The 25,129-nt window shown below is 41.3% G+C and overlaps 2 protein-coding genes and 1 pseudogene across 7 annotated transcripts in view, besides 4 other annotated features; 2 read left to right on the top strand and 1 right to left on the bottom strand.

Moving 5' to 3' along the window:
- Positions 1-3,030, bottom strand: part of R3HDM1 (R3H domain containing 1) — a 193,786-nt gene extending 190,756 nt beyond the window's left edge. For all 4 annotated transcript variants that reach the window (NM_001378107.1, NM_001354200.2, NM_015361.4 and 1 more), the window contains exon 1: positions 2,881-3,030. The gene's annotated coding sequence lies outside the window, so the exon portion shown is untranslated. The remainder of the gene's footprint in view (positions 1-2,880) is intronic.
- Positions 2,864-3,053: a silencer, noted in NCBI's record as "silent region_11981". NCBI's record gives its function as "represses an Ori minimal core promoter by ATAC-STARR-seq in GM12878 lymphoblastoid cells {active_cell/tissue: GM12878}" and the evidence as "EXISTENCE:reporter gene assay evidence [ECO:0000049][PMID:35858748]".
- Positions 3,021-3,315: an enhancer, noted in NCBI's record as "tiled region #5980; HepG2 Activating DNase unmatched - State 1:Tss, and K562 Activating DNase unmatched - State 1:Tss". NCBI's record gives its function as "activates a minimal TATA promoter and a strong SV40 promoter by Sharpr-MPRA in HepG2 and K562 cells {active_cell/tissue: HepG2 | K562}" and the evidence as "EXISTENCE:reporter gene assay evidence [ECO:0000049][PMID:27701403]".
- Positions 3,284-3,553: an enhancer, noted in NCBI's record as "active region_16572". NCBI's record gives its function as "activates an Ori minimal core promoter by ATAC-STARR-seq in GM12878 lymphoblastoid cells {active_cell/tissue: GM12878}" and the evidence as "EXISTENCE:reporter gene assay evidence [ECO:0000049][PMID:35858748]".
- The window catches only part of ZRANB3 (zinc finger RANBP2-type containing 3), a 334,250-nt gene continuing 312,416 nt past the window's right edge, over positions 3,296-25,129 (top strand). Inside the window, exon 1 of one of the 3 annotated variants that reach the window (NM_032143.4) lies at positions 3,296-3,387. The gene's annotated coding sequence lies outside the window, so the exon portion shown is untranslated. Of the gene's footprint in view, positions 3,388-3,783; positions 4,017-25,129 lie in introns of those variants that run through there. The other 2 variants (NM_001286569.1, NM_001286568.2) reach the window with 2 other exon arrangements.
- Positions 3,904-3,983: an enhancer, noted in NCBI's record as "active region_16571". NCBI's record gives its function as "activates an Ori minimal core promoter by ATAC-STARR-seq in GM12878 lymphoblastoid cells {active_cell/tissue: GM12878}" and the evidence as "EXISTENCE:reporter gene assay evidence [ECO:0000049][PMID:35858748]".
- G3BP1P1 (G3BP1 pseudogene 1) lies at positions 22,440-24,165 on the top strand (annotated as a pseudogene).

Here is a 25,129-nt window from a genome sequence, read left to right as displayed (position 1 = left end):
AAGACTCAGTAAATTTTCAGAAATGCCTCTGAAGAGAAAGGAATAGCACCTCTCACAAGTTGTTTCACAGAAAAGAAACACTCAAGTGTTGATAAATAAGGAGAATTAAAAAGAACAGCAACAAAACTGTAGTCACATATGGTTGTAACAATTTCAAATGATTTGCTTAATCTTAACTCTGTATTAAACAGTTCAAATGTCATCTGGTAGCACAATGAATATGGATAGCAAGTATATAAACTAGAGCTTGAAACATTTAACAGCTAAATAAAATTTAAAAGATATTACAATAGTTAACCACTACATGGAGTACACTAATTTTTATTCCCAATAATCCATTTGAAATGTATTCCACAGACACTTGCATTTTAATTCAAAGTCAAAAAAACTTCCATAAGCTAATCAAAAATAACTAGTCGCAAACTGTGCTTAAGTCACTATATAAATTAATACACCCATGGTACTCTTCAGTAACAGAATGTGTTCTAAGGCTGCAACAACACCCTCAGCATATGAACAACAAACCCATTCTCTAAATATGCATGAAAATAACAGTTAATATTTATTGCACAAACTGTGTCAGGCACAATGCTAGGGGATTTACATACTTTACCTCTAATTTTCTGTTTTCTTTCTTTTTAAGATGGAGTTTCGCTCTTGTTGCCCAGACTGGAGTTCAATGGCCTGATCTCGGCTCACCGCTGCCTCCCAGGTTCAAGCGATTCTCCTGTCTCAGCCTCCCGAGTAGCTGAGATTACAGGTGCCCGCCACCATGAGCGACTAATTTTTTGTATTTTCAGTAGAGACGGGGTTTCTCCATGTTGGTCAGGCTGGTCTCCAACTCCCGACCTCAGGTGATCCGCCCGCCCAGCCTCCCAAAGTGCTGGGATTACAGGTGCGCCAACGCGCCCGGCCACTATTATATATTTATCTCTAATTTTCATAACTCCCTAAGTTAAGCATTATCATCCTCATTTTACAGATGAGGAAACCGAACTGAGGTTCATGGAGGGATCCAACAGCCAGGAAGAAAATGTAGAAGACTCCTAAATTTTCAACAGCTCTTTCTCTATATAAATCACCCAAGATCTGAAAGTATCGATTGTATAATTTATCAATTAACTCTTAAGTTCTGGAAAATACTATGCTGGCAGCTGGCAATATATGTTACAGGAACTCTGTGGGGATCTCAGGGGACTTGCCTTCCAAGGCTGTGTATTTATTTCTTTATTTTTTTGAGACCATGTTCTGCTATATTGCCTAGGCTGGCCTTGAACTCCTGGGCTCAAGTGATCCTCTCACCTCACACTCCTGAGTAGCAGGGACTACAGGTGACTACTACATGACTGGCAATTTTCATTTTTTTAATAGATACCACAAATTTCCTCCAGGACCTGAATGTATCTATGTCAATTCTGTAACTAGGTGTACTAGTTATGGAATACAGAAGATCATTAAGCCACCATAGTCTTCTCAAACCCTGAAGAAATGATCAAAACTCAGATGTTTCCTCAGAACCCAAGTTTATTCTGCTAACAAGTAAACCTCAGAAATGGGCCTAGAATTTTATCTCTGATCACAGTTATGTCTACTACAGACTATAGAATCCATGATTTAAAGACATATTCTTCCAGGCATAAAAGCAGAGTGGTATTTGAAAAGACGAGCGTACTCCATCAAAATGTGATGAAGAAATCATAACAGAATGCCCTAAAAATAGCCAAATATGCCAAATTTTTAGAAATTGAGACGTGTCCAATTATTCCTGTCAGACTGGTATCCTATTACTTAGAAGATCTTGTTTCACATATTATAAATGGGTAGACTTTCAGTTTGACTTTAATCATCTTTTCATTTAAAAGTTTTTGTCATCAATGATATTTAAGCTAAAAAAGGTTTCTTACAGTTACAATTAGGTAAACTATAACCATGAAGATATATATATATATATTTAGAAAATTTTATTAGAAAAACCATTTGCTGTTCACTAATCCTAATTTGGAAAGCACCTCTTCTTCACCTTTTACTTAACTATCCCAGGACAATTACACACGGAGCATGATAGTCCCAATAATTTAAGTTTCTTTATAAAAACAAGCTCAACAGAGTCACCCTTTGCACCTAGTCACAGCAACAAAAGAAAACAAAACACCAAAAAACTTCAAAGCCCACAAAGATTTGTTGGCAGCCTAAGGCTCAGGAATCAAAACGTGTGTAAATCTGATCCCGGGGGACCGTGGCACTGACAGTCATTCAACTTTCTTTTTAATATTCCCATTGTGCTTTTTCTGGTACCACAGGGAAAATGTACCTACATTTTACCAACCGGTCGAAGCTGAAAATTCTCTTGGTGCAAGGCCAGGGGATGCGGCCGTGGGGCGGCCGGGGGAGCCCGGGGCACCGGCGCCAGCCACACGAGAGAGCAGTACCACGCTCTTGGCAGGCCTGCTGTGGCTGGCTCCCGAGTCCCTGGGGCTGCAAGAGCAGCCGCGGAGGCAGCAGCAGCAGCCATGGCAGGGACTCGGAAACCTTTCCCCTGCCTCCTCCGCTAGGCCTCGAGGGGTTTGCTTTTCACATGGCCCCCGGGTGGGGGCGGTGGGCACAAGGCAGTGGCTGCAGCTGCAGCCGGAGCCGCAGCCGCGGGCCAGGCGAGCCTGGCTCACTCGGAACCCGACCTAACGGCGGGCTGGCAGCAGCGGGACGTCAGAAGGCCCTGGCTGAAGCGCCGACGACCCGGCGGGGAAGGCCACCTTTCCACACACCACATCTCTCCCCTGCCTGCCTCCTTCTCCGTTAGCGCTACCGGTTGGCGGGCGGGGGAGGGGAGCAAGGCGCGTTATTCCCGGGGAGCTGGACGGGGGAGGGAAGGGCATCTCTTACCCGCGTTACTGAGGAGGAGGAGGCGGTTGGAGCGCGGCGCGGCGGGGCGACGGCGGGGCTGGGTGGGTGCAAGTAAGAGTCTTACGAAAGGGAATTAACCCCATCACCAGCCCGGACACCGGCTCCAGCGGCAGCCGCGGCTGGCAGAATCCCGCCCCTTCCCACCACGCACTAGCCCCGCCTCTTCGTTCTCTTTGAGCGGCAGCCGACTATTCATAGGTTGTACGTCCCCGGAGTGACATGAGTTTTGCCCAATCAAGCTTGAAAAAAACTGTCTTCTCTCCACCCCTTTACCTCCTCCCAGGCCGCGGAGAGCCGTGCCAAATCTTCCTCCAACCTCAAGAGAAAAAGAACCAATCCGTGGTAAGTAACCGCCCTTGAAGGACGCAAAAGCCAACCAATGGTAAAACTAGGAGGACAGCCATTTTGCCCACTTGTAAAAGAGCTACCTTTTCCCACGAGTTGGAGCCTGAGGTGCGGAGTTTCGTGAGTTTTTACTGACTCGAGGTATTTAAAAGACAACCAGATCTCCTCAGTGGGTATTTATAGTGCTTTTTAGGGGTAAAGGAAAATTATCCTCCATGTGGGGCGAAGTGAGGCATGCTGCTTAAGGGGTTGGCTCCTCCCCTTAGCGCTAACGGGTTCTGAAACGAACACCTGGTTTCTCCAGCTTCAGTGGCGGAGGGCGGGGTGATTGCTCTTTTCGGCCTGGAGCGGACTACGATTCCCAACATGCTTTTCCCCTACTCATAACTTCTCCTCCGTTCACTTGTCGCGGTGCTTGGCTGGAATTGTAGTTCCTGAGAGGTACCCATGCCGCCGCTTCAGCCAATGAAAAGGGACAGAGTTTTGAATGACTTGAAATTAGGGCGGAGAACGAGTTGTCGCGAGGCTGTACAGAGCCCTTTTCGCAACCCTAACGGGAGAGAAGTGATGGAAGAAGGGTAGCCGGAAGAGTTTCCTCAAAATACCATAGGGGTTTTAAATTATTAGTACGTATTTAAACTCATCTACTTTCACGTTGTCCCGTTGAACGTCACTTCCGCTTAGGGGCGGACACGTCCCAAACCTGTGGCGGGAGTTGGAGATTCTGCGGCGAATACGCCAGGTGTGACTGGCTGGAAGTGGCGTGGCTGGCAAGTCGCTAGTTTCTTGCATGGGAGATAAAAAGTTGAACGGAATTTAATGGCATTTTAAGAAAGAGTGGGTGACATGGGATGGGGGTAATTTCCAGGGCCCTTATTACTTTCTCCACCCCGGCCTTCAATCGCGGGCGTCTCGGCCTGCTCGCTATTAGATTGCACGGCTAAATTTGTAGAAAGTACCTCTACTGCCTTTAGTCTTCGCGTGGTCAGTTTGAACTGTAAAGACAGGGCTCCGAAGTTCTGAACTACATTTACAGACACACTTTTTTTTTTTTTTTTTGAGACGGAGTCTTGCTCTGTCCCCAGGCTGGAGTGCAGTGGTGGGATCTTGGCTCACTGATTCACGCCATTCTCCTGTCTCAGCCTCCGGAGTAGCTGGGATTACAGGCGCGCGCCACTCAGCCCAGCTAATTTTTTGTATTTTTAGTAGAGACGGGGTTTCACCATGTTGGCCAGGATGGTCTCGATCTCCTGACCTCGTGATCCGCCCACCTTGGCCTCCCAAAGTGCTGGGATTACAGGCGTGAGCCACCGCGCCCGGCCACAAACACACTTCTAAAGTCAGCTTGGAAGGAAAAGAGTCACAGAAAAGGGCTTTTCTGTTTGAAGGATTGATAATCAAGAGTGGCCCCATCACCACTCTTTGAGTAACGACCATTTATTAAACGAGTGGCAGACAGGCGCGGTGGCTCAGACCTGTAATCCTAGCACTTTGGGAGGCCGAGGCGGGAGGATTACTTGAGGTCAGGAGTTCGAGACCAGCCTGGGCAACATGGTGAAATCTTGTGTCTGCTAAAAACTCACACACACACATTAGCCGGACGTGGTGGCAGAGATCTGTAGGATCTGTAGTCCCAGCTACACGGGAGGCTGAGGCAGGAGAATCGCTTCAACTTCGGAAGTGGTTACAGTGACCCGAGATCGCGCCACTGCACTCCAGCCTCGGGTGACAGAGCGAGACTCCGTCTCAAAACAAAAACAAAAACAAAAAACGTGTGACTACAGGGTGCCAACTATAATACACCGATGAATAAAGGCATCACTAAAAAGATGCCTTTATTCATCGGCCACATGGAGCCCACAGCCTAATAATCTTAGCACGTAAGGCCCTGATTTATGCCTCCTTCAGAGTTCAAGGGCGACTGTATGTATACTTTTGGACATTCCATTTAAGGTACCCAGGAAAACTGATTGAATAAAGAAGATACAAGTTACAGAAAAGGGTTTTTCCCTCCCTATGCGTGTGCCCTTTATTCTTAAACTCTTTGCTTTATTATTTTGACTGAGACTTTCTCAGATAAATTCTAATTCAGTTTACTCCATGATTTTACTGAGATTTTCTCTTATAAATCCTGTTGTATTTATGGTATGAGCGCTTAACACTGTATTGGGTACTATACCAGACTTTGGGTAGAGCAGTGCCTAAAAAGACAGGCTCCTTGTCCAAAAGTTGTGAGGAAGAGAGAGGCTAAACAAAATTGTAATGTCACTTACTGTTTCAATCTCTAAGTCAAGTCTTCTTTAGTCACATTTTGTATGTTTATTTGGTCCCTTCTTTACATTCTACCTTTGGATTAAAATAAGCACGTTTTCCTCTTTGCATTGTTTTTACTAAAGCACTAATCTGTGTCCAATACTAACGAGTGATGTTTGTATACAAAGTAAGATGGTAAATTTTATAGTGTAATCCTGCTAGATATAGGAATGTAACCATACCTTGCAGCAAGACATTTTTGTAGATCTACCAGGCAAAGTGTTGTCTCTTGCTTTTTAATGCAATTAGGATATTCAGTGATAATTTAGCAATGCAGTCTACTGTAGATGCTTAGTTTTTTTTTTTATTTGTTTGTGTCAGGAGTTCTTCCAGTGTAAATCTAGTCACTAAATAGTAATGATGGCCATCATTTTATTGAGTTTCGTCTGAGCCAGAAATGATGTTATGTGTGATAAGTACATTTTCCTTATGACAAACTGTAAGTCTTCTTGACATTTTTATATTTGAAGAAAGTGAGGCTCAATGAAGGTAAATAAGACTTGTAGAGGTCTGACCTGGTGGCTCATACCTGTAATCCCAGCACTTTAAGATGTCAAGGCAAGAGAATCACTTGAGTCTAGCAGTTCTAGACCAGCCTGGGCAACATAGGAAATTTCAGTCTCTACAAAAAATAAAAAAATTAGCTGGGCGTAGTGGTGCACAACTGTGGTCCAGCTACACAGGAGGCTGAGGTGAGGGAATCGCTGGGGCCCAGGAGGTCAAAGCTGCAATGAGCTGTGATTGAGCCACTGCACTCCAGCCTGGGGCAACACAGGAGACTCTGTCTCAAACAAACCACAAAAAAAAAAAAAAGAGCTTTAAGGTCTGAGGCCCCTATTAAATAAATTTGAGTTGAGATTCATATCCAGGCCTGTCTAATTCCTGAACTCTTAACCACTATTCATCTTGCCTTTCAAATTTTTATTAATCCTTCAACGTGTGCCAGACACATAATGATGAGGGAAACAAAATTCCATCCCAGGATTCTGGAGCCAATGGTGGCAGTCACTTCCTCTTGTAAGCCATCTTTTGCCATGTACGTAATACTTAGTCCACACGGGAAAATGTAAAAAAGAAAGTAAAGGTCATCTGCAATTCTATTACCAAGAGATGCCACTGTTTACACATATCTCTGTCTTTAGTTACAGGTATGGACACATGTTTTAATGATATAATGCTTTGCTTTTTTTAAATTGAAAAAACTTGCAACAGTGGGCTATGGTTGTGGCTGAATAGATACCAGTATTATCATTTGTGATAGCTACTTTATTGTATAGCTCTAGCATAACCAATTCCCTGCTGATGGATATTTGCATTGTTTTCAATTAATAATTTATTTTTTATTGTGTTAAAAACGCATAACACAATATATCATCTTAACCATCTTTTTTTTTCTTTTTTTATTTTGCGACAGAGTCTTGCTCTGTCTTCCAGGCTGGAGTACAGTGGCTCACTGCAACCTCTGCCAACTGGGTTCAAGTGATTCTCCTGTCTCAGCCTCCTGAGTAGCTGGGATTATAGGCATGCACCATCATGCCTGGCTAACTTTTGTATTTTTAATAGAGATGGGGTTTCACCATGTTGCCCAGGCTGGTCTCGAACTCCTGACCTCGAGTGATCCACCCACCTCACCTCCCAAAGTGCTGGGATTACAGGTGTGAGCCACCGTGCCTGGTCATCTTAACCATTTTTAAATGTATAGTGTGACCCTGAGTCTTCTCTGAGGCCCCATGTGTGGGTGCCAGATGATTGTCGACAAAAAGAGTCAAACTGTAAAATATGAGGAGATTTATGCTGAGCCAAATATGAGTGACCATGGCCCATGACACAGCCCTCGGGAGGTCCTGAGAACATGTGCCCAAGGTGGTTGGGGTACAGCTTGGTTTTATGTATTTTAGGAAGGCATGAGACATCAATCAAATACATTTAAGAAATGCATTGGTTTGGTTTAGAAAGGCGGGACAACTCAAAGTGGGGACTTCCAGGCTATAGGTAAATTTAAACATTTTCTGGTTGACAATTGGTTGAGGTTGTTTGAAGACCTGGGATTGACAGAAAGGAATGCTCAGGTTAAAGATAAAGGATTGTGGAGACCAAGTTTTATTGTACAGAGGAAGCTCTTAGATAGCAGACTTCAGAGAGAGCAGGTTGTAAATTGTTTTTTATCGGACTTAAAAGGGTATCTGGCTCTTAGTTGATTATCTGCTGGATTTGGGAAGGAAGGTAGGAAAACAAAGGGGGAAGGGGATTCACTATAGAATATGGATTTTAACCACAAGAGACTTTGCAGGACAATTTTAAGGTATGGCAAGGAAATATATTTTGGGGTTAAATATTTCTTCCTTGTCTCATAATGTTATGCCACAGTCAGATTGAAAAATAAATCACAATATATAGTTTCAAATAAAACCCCCCTGATGAGAATTTATGGTTTGTAGGGCATGACTCCCTAGACCCCTTAGTTAGGAATTTGGGTAAAATAAAAAAATCAGGTTGGGCTCATTGGCTCACGCCTGTAATCCCAGCACTTTGGGAGGCCAAGGCAGGCAGATTACTTGAGGTCAGGAGTTCAAGACCAGCCTGGCCAACATGGTGAAACCCTGTCTCTACTCAAAATACAAAAATTAGCTGAGTGTGGTGGCGGGCACCTGTAATCCCAGCTACTCGGGAGGCTGAGGCAGGAGAATGGCTTGAACCTGGGAGGTGGAGGTTGCGGTGAGCCGAGATAGTGCCATTGTACTCCAGCCTGGGCGACAGAGTGAGACTCCGTCTCAAAAAAAAAAAAAAAAAAAAAAAATCATAGCTTAGTCCTCAAGTACAATTAAATGTACCTTGTGCAATAGCTATCTAGAACTTTTTCATCTTGCAGATGTGAAATTCTATACTTATCAAACAACAACTGCAACTCCCCTGTATCCTTTGCACCACAGCCACCATTCCACTTTCTGTTTCTGAATTTGACTACATACTTTAGATACCTCATGTAAGTGGAATCATGTAGTACACTATTTCACTTTTTGTGGCTAATTTATTTCACTTTCTATAATGTCTTCAAGGTTCATCTGTGCAGAGCATGATAGGATTTCCTTTTTTTTTTTTTTTTTTTGAGACAGAGTTTTGCTCTTGTTGCCCAGGCCAGAGTGCAATGGTGTGATCTCGGCCCACTGCAACCTCCTCCTCCCGGGTTCAAGCGATTCTCCTATCTCACTGTCTCGAGTAGCTGGGATTACAGGCACGCACCACCATGACCGGCTAATTTTTTTATTTTTAATAGAGACGGGGTTTCGCCATGTTGGCCAGGCAGGTCTGGAGCTCCTGACCTCAGGTGATCCGCCCGCCTCAGCCTCCCACAGTGCTGGGATTACAGGCGTGAGCCATTGTGCCCGGCCCAATCCTGTTTTCAGTTCTTTCGGATATATACCCAGAAGTACGATTGCTGAATAGACTAGGTTTTATAGGTAATGCTGTCATGTGCACTCTCTTTGTATGCTTCCCTGATTATCCCTTGAATCTAACCTTTTAGAAGTAGGTTTTTTAGCCACAAATACTCTGTGATTTCTAAGTTGCTCTTCAGAAAGGATGTTCCCATTTTCTTTCCTACTAATGGTGTTTGAGAGCACCCATTTCCCATGTTTTACTCTATTCAATCTGATCTAAAAGGTGATGGTTCATTATATTTCATTTGTATCTAGTTGAATTCTATTGATGTAGAGCATCTTTTTTATGTTTATTATCCTTTGGTGTTTAGTCTCTTTTGTGTAGCCTGTTGCTGTCATTGTCTCTTAATATTTTTTAAAAATTACTTCATAGGCTGTTAATTCTTTGTCATATTTCTCACATCTTTACTCCCATTTTGAAATATCTTTTAACTTTTTAATGTTTTCTTCCTATGGCTAGAAGTTTAAATTATTTTAGTGTCCAAATCTATCCATCTTTTTTTATAGCTTCTAATTTATTTGTGATGCTTAGAAATGCTTTCCCCACCCCAGATTAGTAAAAAAATTATATATCTAATTAAAACATTTTTGTATTTTATAATTTATCTGTAATTTTTTTGGTATAAGGAACAAAATAAAGATTAATCTTTTTTAGGCTAAACCCAATACCATTTATTAAATAATTCATCTCTCCATACCCATTAATTTAAAATATAATTTTATCATATTCACAATTCTCATTTATACATGGTTCTCTTTGGACACTGTTCTTTTTCATTGTTCTCTCTTTTCTTTGACTTGTACCATACCCATTATCTTAATTTCTGTAACTTTGTAATAATATGTTTTGGTGTCTAGAGGTAAGGTGTGTTCCCGCTCTTCTTTTTCAGTCATTTTCTTGTTATTCTCAGCTTTTCTTGTAATTTATTAGTTAGATTTTTGTCAAGTTAAAAATCTCTGCACTTTCATATTTTAACAAAATGCAAGTTTGACATTTATATATATACCAAATATGACTTCTTAAAGCCAAGTATTTCATTTCATAGTAACAATACAGAATTTTTCTTGGGTGTCATCGAGAATCAATGGGTCATTCTATGCTTTGTTAAAACATATTTCTATTATAGAATTCTACAGGATGGTCGCGGTGGCTTAAGCCTGTAATCCCAGCACTTTGGGAGGCCGAGGCGGGTGGATCACCTGAGGTCGGGAGTTCGAGACCAGCCTGACTAAAATGGTGAAACCCCGTCTCTACTAAAATACAAAAAAGTAGCCAGCTGTGGTGGTGCATGCCTGTAGTTCCAGCTACTCAGGAGGCTGAGGCAGGAGCTTGAACCCGGGAGGCCCAGGTTGCAGTGACCCGAGATTGTGCCATTGCACTCCAGCCTGGGCAACAAGAGCGAAACTCTTTCTCAAAAAAAAAAGAAAAAAGAATTCGACCAAAATGGTTACAATTTAAAAGCCCATCTTATTTTTTAAATTATATAATCACTTTTTAAATATAGATACTTGTATTTTGTAGGTGGCTTCCAGGAGAACCTGATAACTTCTAAATGCTTATCTGTAACTTAAAACTGTTTATCCCACTGTACTTCACAGCCTTCTCCAAGTACTTCAAATTCAGCATGTCCCAAATCATGGCCCACAATCTTCACCCCTAAATCTGTTCTACCCTCTGTATTCTCTCATGTGTTTATTTGCTCAGGGAATATTTACTGAGCATCTACTGAAAGAGGTACTGAATAATCAAGACTATAGGCTGGAGTCTGCCTAGGCTTGATTCTTTGTTGTGTCATTTACTTGTGTTACCTTGGGCAGATTAGTTGACCATCTGTGTCTCAGTTTCCTTATTTGTAAAACTGAGATAATGAGAATACCTACCTTAGAGGCTTTTGTGAGGATCAAATGATTTAATACATAAAATACTTAAAACAGTACCTGACACATAATAAGTGTGTGTTGCTTTTTTATTAATATTGTTTCCGTTAATCAGGCTGATGCTAGATGCTAGAGTCCTGAAATAAAACCATAAGAAAGTCTATGATTCCTGATTTATGAAGACATTCTAACAGAAGTGAGAGACAAAATTTAAGGAAACAGAGAAGAATAATTGCCAATTACAATAAGTACTTTAAGGAAACCAAGTGGTATTAAGGGAAATTTAGAGGAGTCCAGTTGGGAGCTGTTGTGCTAATCCTGTTGAGCGGTGATGATGGCTTGGATTTGGTGATAGCAGTGGAACTTGGGGGGGAAAAGGATAGACTTGAGATACATTAATATTTTGGGAATAATGAATAATAAGTGGATTCAACTTGGTGGTTTAGGGAAAGGGAGAAATCAAGAATGAAACCCAGTTTGAGTAACTTGCATGGTTGTACTATTTACTGAGACTACAGGGGCACACAAATTTGGTGAGAAATCAAGACTGGTTTTGGACTTTTAAGCTAAAAATGTCTGTTTGGATATTGGAGATATCCAAAATGTCAGGTAGGTAATTAGATATAGGAGTCTATGAAGAGATTATGAATTGTATTACCTGGACTATTTGTGGTAGCCTTCTAAAAGGTTATTCCTGCCCCCACATTCATTTTTCTAAACTTGACAAGGTAATCTTTGTAAAATCGCAATCTGATTACACTTTAAAAATTGCTTCCAATTCCTTACAGAAAAAAGTCCAAACTCTTAGCATGGCACCTCTTTGACTTGGCCTGTTTTTACTTCTTTACTACATGTCACAAGGATCTTATTCTTTAGCTATACTAAACTGCTTAGGATTTTCTAAAACTTTTTTTTTCTTTTTCTTTTGAGATGGAGTCTCACTCTGTCACCCAGGCTGGAGTGCAGTGGTGTGATCTCGGCCTGGCTAATTTTTGTATTTTTAGTAGAGACAGGGATTCACTATGTTGGCCAGGCTGGTCTTGAACTCCTGACCTCAGGTGATCTGCCTGCCTCGGCCTCCCAAAGTGCTGGGATTACAGGCGTGAGCTACCTTGCCTGGCCAGATTTTCTAAAACTTTATGCCTTTGCAACTGTGGCTTTTTTCTCCCTGTTGGGGAAACCAGCCCCACACCACCCGGCGGGTACCCCAAGTCCAGCAGAAACAAAGGAATTAGAAAGAGACAGAATAAGAGTTTAAAAGGCGAGTCCAGGGGACTGGAGCATCGGAGGCTTGCTCGTAGCCTCAAGCTGTTGGCCTCCACCCAATTTATTGGTTTACAAGCTCTTTGTTCTTAGGGCAAATGGGAGGAATAGGAAGGGAAGAGGAAAAGGATTAATCAGTGAAGGAGAACTTGTGAGTCATTCAATAAGATGTTATAGCAGTGGCGGTTTCTGTGAATTTCCTTGAGCAAAGGCGTGTGTCTAAACTACTTAAGATCTTTAACTTTTCGGGACTGAAATTGGTGGGAGTGGGTTTCAGGAGAATCCAAGTTGTTTGATTATACTCCCCTGCTTCAAGGGAGTGTTATTTCCCTGAGCAACCTGTGGCATGCTGCAGAGCTGTTATGCTCTAGGAGCATAAAGACATGAAGGCAGTAAGGAGACTTTTCTCCTCAGAGGCCGCCCATGGCTCCCCATGGGTGTCTCACACAGGGGAGACCAACTCATCTGGCACCCAGAAACTGTCTTTCCCACACTCTCTAGAATATCCTTATCATGATTCTCTGTCTGCAGACTCCACTCTTCAAGTTTTAGCGTGAGTGGCATCTGGTATTTAAGTAAGGTGTACCATACCAAGCATTTTTTCTCACAAGTGAAGGCTTTTTTGATTACTTGCTGCCGTATAAAGCCAATGTTCCCTCTTATGTGTAGTGCCTTATATATATTCTATTTTCATAGCACTTATCGCATTGTGTTGTGTTGTTTACAGCTGTCATTTCCCCTGGGCTTGGATGTGAGGCTACAATGGCACAAATTCATCATTGTTTACCCAATACCTTCTGTAGTGTCTGAAGCATAGTAGGTATTTATTTATTTATTTATTTTTGAGACGAAGTTTGCTCTTTTTTGCCCAGGCTGGAGTGCAGTGGCACGATCTTGGCTCACCGTAATGTCTGCCTCCCGGGTTCAAGCGATTGTCCTCTGTCAGCCTCCCAAGTAGCTTGCCACCATGCCCGGCTAATTTTTGTACTTTCAGTGGAGACAAGGTTTCACCATGTTGATGAGGCTGGTCTTGAACTCCTGACCTCATGATCTGCCTGCCTCGGCCTCCCAAAGTGCTGGGATTACAGGCATGAGCCATCATGCCCGGCCATAATAGGTACTTCTTAAGTATTTCTTGAGTGAGTGATTTGGAGAGGCAATGTTGCATAATGGCAAAAATTCAGACTTTTAAATTAGACCAACCTGAGTTCTAGGCCTAATGTCACCAGTTGCTAACTTTTAAACCTCGTGTAAGTTATATAACATTTCTGAACTTTTAAATTTTCTTGTCCTTAACGTGAGGATAATTATATTTATCTTATGAGTTGTTTTGAGAATTTCAAGACTTCTTCTAAAATTTCCTAGTGTAGTGGTTTGCAGAAAGAGGTCACCCAATAAGTGGGAATTATTTTATCATTAATCTGAAAACAGTTGCCTGTAGAAAGAAAGATTGTAATATTCTTGCTTTTAAAGTAATTGGAGGCTGAGGTGAAAGGATTGCTTAAGGCCAGGAGTTCCAGACCAGCCTTGGCAATGTAATGAGACCCTATCACAACAAAAATTAAAAAAAAAACAATTAGCCTGACCAAGATGGTGTAACCCCGTCTCTACTAAAAACACAAAAATTAGCTGGGCGCAGTGGCAGGCACCTGTAAGCCCAGCTCCTCGGGAGGCTGAGACAGGAGAATTGCTTGAACCCAGGAGCCGGAGGTTGCAGTGAGCCGAGAGCACACCACTGCACTCTAGCCTAAGTGACAGAGCAAGACTCCGTCTCAAAAAAAACAAACAAAAAAACAATTAGCCAGGTGTGGTGGCAGATGCCTGTAGTCCAAGCTGTTTGAGAGGCTGAGGCAGGAGGATTGTGTGAGCCCAGGAGTTTGAGGTTGCAGTGAGCTAATATTGCACCCCTGTACTCCAGGCAGAGTGACAGAGCAAGACTTTGTCTCAAAAAAAAAAAAAAAAAGAAATCCTTTTTTCTCTTTGAGGTGGAGTCTTACTCTGTCACCCAGGCTGGAGTGCAGTGGCATGAACTTGGCTCACTGTAACCTCCGTCTCCTGGGTTCAACCGATCTCCTGCCTCAGACTCTCCAGTAGCTGTGATTACAGGCAAGGCACCTGCCACCATGCCCGGCTAATTATTTTTATTTTTATTTTTAGTAGAGATGGGTTTTCGCTATGTTTGCCAGGCTGGTCTTGAACTCCTTACCTCAAATTATCCACCCGCCTCGGCCTCCCAAAGTGCTGGGATTACAGGCATGAGCCACCGTGCCTGACCAAAACAAAAAAAAAAAAAAGAATTTAAGTGGAAAAAAAAGATTTAATGAAGAGGGAGTGATTACTGATAGGTCCGGTAAGATGAAGACAGAGAATTCCTTACTGCTTGCTTCCTTCCTTTTACCTCCGGTTCACAGCCTTTATATATACCATATCCTCTTCCTAAAACACTCTTTGATCCCTTCCTCTCTGGTTAATGTTGTTGAAGTATGAACTTTGATGTATGTATATTTAGAAGCCTTCCAAACACTCTAATCTGAAAAATTAGTCCCGTGTGTATGCTCCCTTAACACCCAGTACTTCCCCTGTAGTCTTTCTTCAGAACTGCATGTAATAATATATTTACTATTATATATCTGGAGCCTAGCACAATGTCTGCTACATGTGAACAACCGAATACACATTTGTTGAATGCATGAAAAAATGAAATTCAGGGAGTTGGATGATTACTTTTCATAGGATATAACTGTTTATAGGACCAGTATATTAATATTTAAAATAGATATTTTCAGTGGGATTTAGCCCTGAAGTAGAGATGGAGCATTCGTGTGATAAAAAGGGATGAAAGACCCAAATATAGGTCTTACTTCTGCTGTTAGCTACATGATCTTGGAGTTTTATCTTTCTGAGTCTTGCTCTGTTTAGCTCACTGCAGCCTGGACCTCCCTGGCTCAAGTGATCTTTCTGCTGCTGCCTCCCAAAGTTCTGGGATTACAGGTGTAATCATCATGCCCAAGCCAGGGTGTTTTGTTTTTTTTAATCTAAAAAAGATCATACTTTTTGAGTTCATTGTAAATTCACGGGAAATTGTAAGAAATAATGCGGAGAGATACTGTGGACCTTTCCCTAGTTTCCTCCAGTGGTAACATCTTAGAAAACTACAGTACAACCAGGATATTGACACAGTCAAAATAGAGAACATTTCCATCCCAGGAGGATCCCTCATGTTGCCTTCTTATAGCCACAACCACTTCTATCCCACCCCAACCTAACCACTAATCTATTATCCATTTCTAAAATTTTGTCCTTTCAAGTAGGTCGTGTAAATGGAATAAAATAATAAATGGAATTAAAAATAATAAATGGGCTCTCCCTGATAAATCACCTAATCTGAGGGACAGAAACAGTTTCCCCTGTCCAACAATCAGCTCCAAATTCTCCCTCCTGAACCCTATTATTTTGGAATTTTTGATAGCAACAAACAGAAGTAGGAAGCAAGATTAAGCAAACAAGGAAATAACATGCTGCAGTGCCTCTCAGCAGATAGATCTTCTCAGTAGGGGAAGCGTATAGAATAGCAGCTGAAAATGTGGCATATGACATCTATAGCCACATGACCTGAGTTTGTGACCCAGCTCCATAACTACAAGTTACAGGACTATGGTGGCTGGCAAGATGGCTGAATAGGAACAGTTCCAATCTGCAGCTCCCAGCGAGATCAACTCAGAAGACCAGTGATTTCTGCATTTCCAATTGAGGTACTTGGCTCATCTCATTGAGACTGGTTAGATAGTGGGTGCAGCCCATGGAGGGCAAGCCAAAGCAGGGTGGGGCGTTTCCTCATCCGGGAAGTGCAAGGGGTCAGGGAACTCCCTCCCTTAGCCAAGGGAAGCTGTGAGGGACTATGCCGTGAGAAATGGTGCATTCCAGCCCAGATACTATGCTTTTCCCATGGGCTTCGTAACCCACAGACCAGGAGATTCCCTAGGGTACCTACACCACCAGGGCCCTGGGTTTCAAGCACAAAACCAGACAGCCCTTTGGGCAGACACCAAGCTAGCTGCAGGAGTTTTTTTCATACCACAGTGGCTCCTGGAACACCAGCGAGACAATCATTCACTCCTCTGGAAAGGGGGCTGAAGCTAGGGAGCCAAGTGTTCTACCTCAGCAGATCCCACCCCATGGAGCCCAGCAAGCTAAGTAGATCCACTGGCTTGAAATTCTCACTTCCAGCACGCAGTCTGAAGTCTATCTGGGACGGTCGAGCTTGGTAGGGGGAGGGGCATTTGCCATTACTGAGGCTTGAGTAGGCGGTTTTCCCCTCACGGTGTAAACAAAGCTGCTGGGAAGTTCGAACTGGGTGCGGAACCCACCGCAGCACGCAAAGCCACTCTAGCCAGAATGCCTCTCTATATTCCTCCTCTCTGAGCAGGGCATCTCCAAAAGAAAGGAGCCCCAGTCAGGGGCTTATAGATAAAATTCCCATCTTCCTGGGACAGAGCACCTGGGGGAAGGGGCAGCTGTGCTCACAGCTTTAGCAGACTTAAATGTTCCTGCCTGTTGGCTCCGAAGAGAGCAGCATATCTCCCAGCACAGCACTCAAGCTCTGCTAAGGGACAGACTGTCTCCTCAAGTGGGTCCCTGACCCCCATGCCCCCTGACTGGGAGACACCTCCCAGCAGGGGTCAACAGACACCTCAGACAGGAGAGCCCCAGCTGGCATCTGGCAGTGCCTCCTCCCAGAGGAAGGAACAGGCAGCAACCTTTGCTGTTCTGCAGCTTCTGCTGGTGATACCCAGGCAAACAGAGTCTTGAGTGGACCTCTAGCAAACTCCAACAGACCTGCAGCAGAGGGGCCTGACTGTTAGAAGGAAAACTAACATACAGAAAGGAGTAGCATCAGTATCAACAAAAAGGACGCTCACACAAAAATCCCATCTGAAGGTCACCAACATCAAAGACCAAAGGTAGATAAATCCACGAAGATGAGGAAAAAACAGCACAAAAAGGCTGAAAATTCCCAAAACCAGAATGCCTCTTCTCCTCCAAAGGATCACTCCTCGCCAGCAAGGGAACAAAAGTGGACGGAGAATGAGTTTGATGAATTCACAGAAGTAGGCTTCAGAAGGTGGGTAATAACAAACTTCTCCAAGCTTAAAGAGCATGTTCTACCCCAATGCAGGGAAGCTAAGAACTTCGAAAAAAGGTTAGAGGAATTGCTAACTACAATAACCAGTTTAGAGAAGAACATAAATGACCTGATGGAGCTGAAAAACACAGCATGAGAACTTTGTGAATCATACACAAATATCAATAGCCAAATTGACCAAGCAGAAGAAAGGATATCAGAGATTGAAGATCAACTTAATGAAATAAAGTGTGAAGACAAGGTTAGAGAAAGAAGAATGAAAGGGAATGAACAAAGCCTCCAAGAAATATGGGACTATGTGAAAAGACCAAACTATTTTTGATTGGTGTACCTGAAAGTGACAGGGAGAATAGAACCAAGTTGGAAAACACACTTAAGGATATTATCCAGGAAAACTTCCCCAACCTAGCAAGACAGGCCAACATTCAAATTCAGGAAATATGGAGAACACCACAAAGATGCTCCTTGAGAAGAGCAACCACAAGACACATAATTGTCAGATTCACCAAGGTTGAAATGAAGGAAAAAATGTTAAGGGCAGCCAGAGAGAAAGGCTGGGTTACCTGGGTAACGAAGGGAAGCTCATCAGACTAACAGTGGATCTCTCAGCAGAAACCCTACAAGCCAGAAGAGAGTGGGGTCCAATATTCGTCATTCTTAAGGAAAAGGATTTTCAACCCAGAATTTCATATCCAGCCAAACTAAGCTTCAAAAGTGAAGGTGAAATAAAATCCTTTACAGACAAGCAAATGCTGAGAGATTTTCTCACCACCAGGCCTGCCTTACAAGAGCTCCTGAAGGAAGCACTAAACATGGAAAGGAACAACTGGTACCAGCCACTGCAAAAACATACCAAGTTGTAAAGACCATCAACACTGTGAAGAAATTTCATCAACTAATGGGCAAAATAACCAGCTAGTATCATAATGACAGGATCAGATTCACATATAACAATATTAACCTTAAATGCCCCAATTGAAAGACACAGACTGGCAAACTGGATAGAGTCAAGACCCATCAGTGTGCCGTGTTCAGAAGACCCATCTCACGTGCAAAGACACACATAGGCTCAAAATAAAGGGATGGAAGAATATTTACCAAGCAAATGGAAAGCCAAAAAAAAAAGAAAAAACAGGGGTTGCAATCCTAGTGTCTGGTAAAACAGACTTTAAACCAACAAAGATCAAAAGAGATAAGGGCATTACATAATGGCAAAGGGATCAGTACAACAAGAAGAGCTAACTGTTTTAAATATATATGCACCCAATACAGGAGCACCTAGATTCATAAAGCAAATTCTTAGAGACCTACAAAGAGACTTAGACTTCCATACGATAATAGTAGGAGATTTAATGCCCCACTGTCAATATTAGACAGATTAATGAGACAAAATTAACAAGGATATTCAGGACTTGAACTCAGCTCAGGACCAAGCAGACCTAATAGACGTCTATAGAATTCTCCACCGCAAATCAACAGAATATACATTCTTAGCACCACATTACTCTTATTCTAAAATTGACCACAGAATTGGATGTAATGCACTCCTCAGCAAATGCAAAAGAATGGAAATCATAACAAACAGTCTCTCAGACCACAGTGCAAGCAAATTAGAACTCAGGATTAAGAAACTCACTCAAAACCGCACAACTACATGGAAACTGAACAACCTGCTCCTGAATGACTACTGGGTAAATAACGAAATGAAGGCGGAAGTAAATAAATTCTTTGAAACCAATGAGAACAAAGACACAACGTACCAGAATCTCTGGGACACAGCTAAAGCAGTGTGTAGAGGGAAATTTGTAGCACTAAATGCCCACAGGAGAAAGCAGGAAAGATCTAAAATCGACACCCTAATATCACAAACAAATTCAAAAGCTAGCAGAAGATAAGAAATAACTAAGATCAGAGCAGAACTGAAGGAAATAGAGAACTATTAATAGCCTACCAACCAAAACAGCCCAGGACCAGACAGATTCACGGCCGAATTTGTACCAGAGGTACTAAGAGGAGCTGGTACCATTCCTTCTGAAATTATTCCAAACAGTAGAAAAAGAGGGACTCCTACCTAACTCATTTTATGAGGCTAGCATCATGCTGATACCAAAACCTGGCAGAGACACAACAAAAAAAGATGATTTCTGGCCATTATTTCTGATGAACATCGATACGAAAATACTCAATAAAATACTGGCAAACTGAATCCAGCAGCACATCACAAAGCTTATCCACCAAGATCAAGTCAGCTTCATTCCTGGGATTCAAGGCTGGTTCAACATATGCAAATCAGTAAACGTAATCCATCACATAAACATAACCAATAACAACACATGATTATCTCAATAGATGCAGAAAAGGCCTTCCATAAAATTCAACACCCCTTCATGCTAAAAAAAACTGTCAATAAACTAGGTATTGATGGAATGTATCTAAAAGTGATAAGAGCTATTTATGACACACCCACAGCCAATATCATACTGAATGGGTGAAAGCTGGAAACATTCTCTTTGAAAGCTGGCACACAAGGATGCCTTCTTTCACCACTCCTATTCAGCATAGTATTGGTAGTTCTGGCCAGGGCAATCAAGCAAGAGAAAGAAAGAAAAGATATTCGGATAGGAAGAGAGGAAGTCAAATTGTCTGTTTGCAGATGACATGATTGTATATTTAGAAAACCCCATCATCTCAGCCCAAAATCTTCTTAAGCTGATAAGCAACTTCAGCAGTGTCTCAGGATACAAAATCAGTATGCAAAAATCACAAGCATTTTTATACACCAATAATAGACCAACAGAGAGCCAAAACATGTATGAACTCTCATTAACAATTGCTACAAAGAGAATGAAATGCCTAGGAATACAACTTACAATGGAGGTGAAGGACCTCTTCAAGGAGAACTACAAACCACTGCTCAAGGAAATAAGAGAGGGCACAATCAAATGGAAAAACATTCCATGCTCATGGATAGGAAGAATCAATACTGTGAAAGTGGCCATATTGCCCAAAGTAACTTACAGATTCAATGCTATCCCCATCAAGCTACCATTGACTTTCTTCACAGACTTAGAAAAAACTACTTTAAATTTCATATGGAACCAAAAAAGAGCCCGTATAGCCAAAACAATCCTAGGCAAAAAGAACAAAGCTGGAGGCATCACGCTACCTAGTTTGACTTCAAACTGTGCTACAAGGCTACAGTAACCAAAGCAGCATGGTACTGTTACCAAAAGAGATATATAAACCAATGGATCAGAACAGAGGCCTCAGAAATAACACTACACATCTACAACCATCTGCTCTTTGACAAACCTGACAAAAACAAGAAATGGGGAAAGGATTTCCTATTGATTCCCTATTTAGTGAATGGTGTTGGGAAAACTGGCTAGCCATATGCAGAAAACTGAAACAGGACCCCTTCCTTACACCTTATCCAAAAATTAACTCAAGATGGATTAAAGACTTAAACATAAGACCTAAAACCATAAAAACCTTAGAAGAAAACCTAGGCAATACCATTCAGGACATAGGCATGTTCAAAGACTTCATGTTTTTGCTTTTAGTGTTGTTGTCTAAAACCATACCATAACCCAAGATTACAAAGGTTTACTCTTGTGTTTTCTCCTTGAAGTTTTATAGTTTTAACTGTTATGTTTTAATCTTTGATCCATTTTAAGTTAATTTTCATATGCAGCATGAGGTGGGGGTTTAATTTCATTCTTTTATATGAACATCTAGTTGTCTCAGCACTATTTGTTGAAAAAGTTACTCTTTTCCTATTGAATCCTCTTAGGACCCTTGTCAAAAAATTGACTGTAAATGTAAAGGCTTATTTCTGGACTTTCAGTTCTGTTCCATTGACCTAGCTGGTTGTCATTATGCTAGTAGTGCTACACTGCCTTGATTATTGTCACTTTGTAGTAAATTTTACAACCAGGAAGTAGAAGTCCTCTAGCTTTGTTCATTTTCAAGATTGTTTTGGCTATTCTGGGTTCCTTGCATTTCCATATGAATTTTAGAATCAGCTTGTCAGTGATCGAATTTTGAAAGTATAATCAGCTGTGCATTCCTGAAATAAGCCCATTTTAGTCTTGGTGTCTTAGTCTTTTAATTACTGCTATATTTGGTTTGCTAATATTTTGTTTACCTATGAATATGAGAGATTGTATTATGTATGTTTTTTCTTGTAATGTGCTTGTGAGATTGTTTAGGCTGGCTTCACACAATGAGCTTGAAAATAATACTCCTGTCTTTGCACCAAATGGGTCAGATTTGTTTATTGTATTCTTGAAATCATCTTTATCCTGTTACAATTTAATCAACTTGCATAATCAATTACTGAGAGACATGTGTTAAACTTTTCCACTGTGGTTATAGATAGATATGGTTGTGTCAAATTTTCCTTTTATTTTTATCAGTTTTTGCCTTGTATATTTATTAAGATATATTTTGAGGCTAAATTTTTCTAATAAATCTTTTATCATTATAAAATGCTTTTCTTTATTTTAATAATTTTTTTTTGCCTGAAACCTATGTTATCTTATAATGTAAAGCAATACTAGCTATACTTTGGCATGTATAATATGTCTTTTTTAATTCTTTTACTTTCAGTGTTTATGAATCCTCCTATTTAAGGGTATGTCTTTTAAAAGCAACATGTAAATTTATATATATTTTAATTTAATATAGGAATCTTTTCATTTGTTTTTAGTCCATTTACATTTAATATCTTTTCTAATTTACTAATTCTTTATTCTGCAGTAAATTTCATCCAATACATTCTTAATTAAAAAAAAAAATTATCTCCCCAAAGTTTATATAGTTGTCCTGACCCGCCATTTACTTGTTGTTTCTGAAATAAGTCTCTAGGTAGTGTATTTTAACAATATCTGATTCTCCTCAGTACAGTTCTACTATTTACTTAAATGAGTCAGTGAATTCCAGTTGAATTTGCCTTGTTCTCAATTGAGTACAAAAACACTATCTTGACCTAAAAAGATAGAAAGTATTTCCTTCTTTCTTTTTTTCAAGTGTTGCGTACCATACCAAGCAAATTGCTTAGAAAATAAGTTCTACTAGATTTTGCTTTCACTAAATTTCCCTAGCCAATATTGTCATTTTGATTTTAATAACATGGTATTAAAAATTATGTATTGCTGGTGCGGACACAGTTGCATGAGGGGTTTCTGCCATCATCAGTGCTGTGTAGCAGAGTTAGTTCCTCTCCAGCTCAGCCGCACAGGTTTGGACATATTTGACTTTTTCCCCTCAGTTTGAATTGACCAAAGCAATGGTGATGGAGAAGGCTAGTCCCCTGCTGGTTGGGTGGGAATTTGTGAGACAGCATTACACACTGCTGAACTAGGCCCCAGACATGCTGCATAGATTTTATGGAAGGAACTCTTCTTATGTCCATGGGGGATTGGATTCAAATAGAAAGCTAGCAGATGCAGTTTATGGACAGAAAGAAATCCACAGGAAAGTGATGTCACGAAACTTCAGCAACTGCCACACCAAGATTCTCCATGTTGATGCTTATGCCACACTAAATGATGGTGTGGTAGTCCAGGTGTTGGGGCTTCTGTCTAACAACAACCAGGCTTTGAGGAGATTCATGCAGATGTTCGTACTTGCTCCTGAGGGGTCTGTTGCAAATCAGTTCTATGTTCACAATGATATCTTCAGATAGCAAGATGAGGTCTTTGGTGGGTTTGTCACTGAGCCTCAGGAGGAGTCTGAAGAAGTAGTAGAGGAACGTGAAGAAAAGACAGCAAACACCTCAGGTGGTACCTGATGATTCTGGAACTTTCTGTGATCAGGCAGTTGTCAGTAATGACGTGGAAGAACATTTAGAGGAGCCAGTTGCTGAACTGGAGCCTGATCCTGAGCCAGAACCAGAACAAGAATGTGTATCTGAAATCCAAGAGGAAAAGTCTGAGCTAGTATTAGAAGAAACTGCTCCTGAGGATGCTCAGAAGAGTTCTTCTCCAGCACCTGCAGACATATCTCAGACAGTATGGGAAGACTTGAGGACATTTTCTTGGGCATCTGTGACCAGTAACAACCTTCAACCCAGTGGAGCTGTTCCAGTTACTGGGATACCTCCTTATGTTGGTAAAGTACTAGCTTCACAGCCCTGTACAGAGTCTAAGCCTGAATCTCAGATTCCACCACAGAAACCTCAAAGGGATCAAAGGATGTGAGAACAACGAAGAAATATTCCTCCCCAAAGGGGACCCAGACCGATCTGTGAGGCTGGTGAGCAAGGTGACATTGAACCCCAAAGAGTGGTGAGACACCCTGACAGTCACCAACTCTTCATTGGCAACCTGCCTCATGAAGTGGACAAATCAGAGCTTAAAGATTTCTTTCAAAATTATGGGAACGTGGTGGAGTTGCACATTAACAGTGGTGGGAAATTACCCAGTTTTGGTTTTGTTTTGATGATTCTGAGCCTGTTCAGAAGGTCCTTCGCAACAGGCCCATCATGTTCAGAGGTGAGGTCTGTCTGAATGTGGAAGAGAAGAAGACTCGAGCTGCCAGGGAAGGGGACTGACGAGATGATCGCCTTAGGGGACCTGGAGGCCCTCTATGTGGGCTGGGTGGTGGAATGAGAGGCCCTCCTCATGGAGGCATGGTGCAGAAAGCAGGATTTGGAGTGGGAAGAAGGCTTGCTCCATGGCAGTGAATCTTCATGGATCTTCACGCGGCCATACAAACCCTAGCTCCTACAGAATGGTGAATTTCTTTGACCAGCCTTTGGTATCTTGGAGTATGACCCCAGTTTGTTATAAACTGCTTAAGTTAGTATAATTTTACTTCTTTTGTGTGTTAATGATGTGTGCTCCTTCTCCCTCTCTTCCCTTTCCTGACCTTTAGTCTTTCACTTCCAATTTTGTGGAATGATATTTTAGGAGTAACGGATTTTTCAAGAAGAAGAAGAAAGAAAGACTGAATTTCCTTGCTTATTTTGCATGTACAGACTGGATTTTTTTCCTAACAGCCATTTCCCCAAAGGAATGTGTCTTGCGTATTACTGACATTTGGTACGTTTCATTCATTGGAATATTTCTTACTTTCTGTGTGTTTCAAAAGCCTGTGAGAAATACAGGATTTGATAACATTTTGAAGGCAGGAAAACCCCAAATTGTTACTTCTTTGAGAGTCACAACCACTTTCTGGTGTGGAGAAATTGCCATTGGAAAATTTGACAATTTTGATTCTCGCTGGTATGTTTAAAAACTGAATAAAAAGAATAGAATTTTTCTTTTGATATTGGATCACGAAACACTTCTAAAACCTGTTTTTACAGTGGGTTTGGAAAATTTGACAATTTTGATTCTCACTGGTATGTTTAAAATTTGGAAAATTTGACAATTTTGATTCTTGCTGGTATGTTTAAAAACAATAAAAGGAATAGAACTTTTCTTTTGATATAGGATCACAAAACAATTCTAAAACCTACCGTTTTTACCATTGAAATTTATATTGTGGTATAGGTTTTAAATGTCTAGAATGCAACTGGATGGGCTTTTCTTGAACTGTTAGTTTTTTTGAAGTAGAGTTTTTTCATGTTTAATTTGTATTTGTAAAAAAACAAAAGACAAAATATTCCCAAAACCCAGATAACAACCAGAACAAAACTGTTGTGCCTTCTGTTTATCTTTGATTTTAGTCTTGGCAATTGTTTAAAGAAAAATAATTTTTTAATATATCTAGATTTGTTTTATTAGGTTCAGATATTGTTTTTAATATCTAGATTTGTTTTATTAGGTTTTACTATGGTTGACTTATACTTCATGTGGGGAATTGTAGAAACCCTCTTTTATCACCTTGTATGTCTTCCGTT

The sequence above is a fragment of the Homo sapiens genome, chromosome 2, assembly GCF_000001405.40.
Source record: "Homo sapiens chromosome 2, GRCh38.p14 Primary Assembly".
NCBI lineage: Eukaryota > Metazoa > Chordata > Mammalia > Primates > Hominidae > Homo > Homo sapiens.
This window is presented reverse-complemented; position numbering and strand designations above follow the sequence as displayed.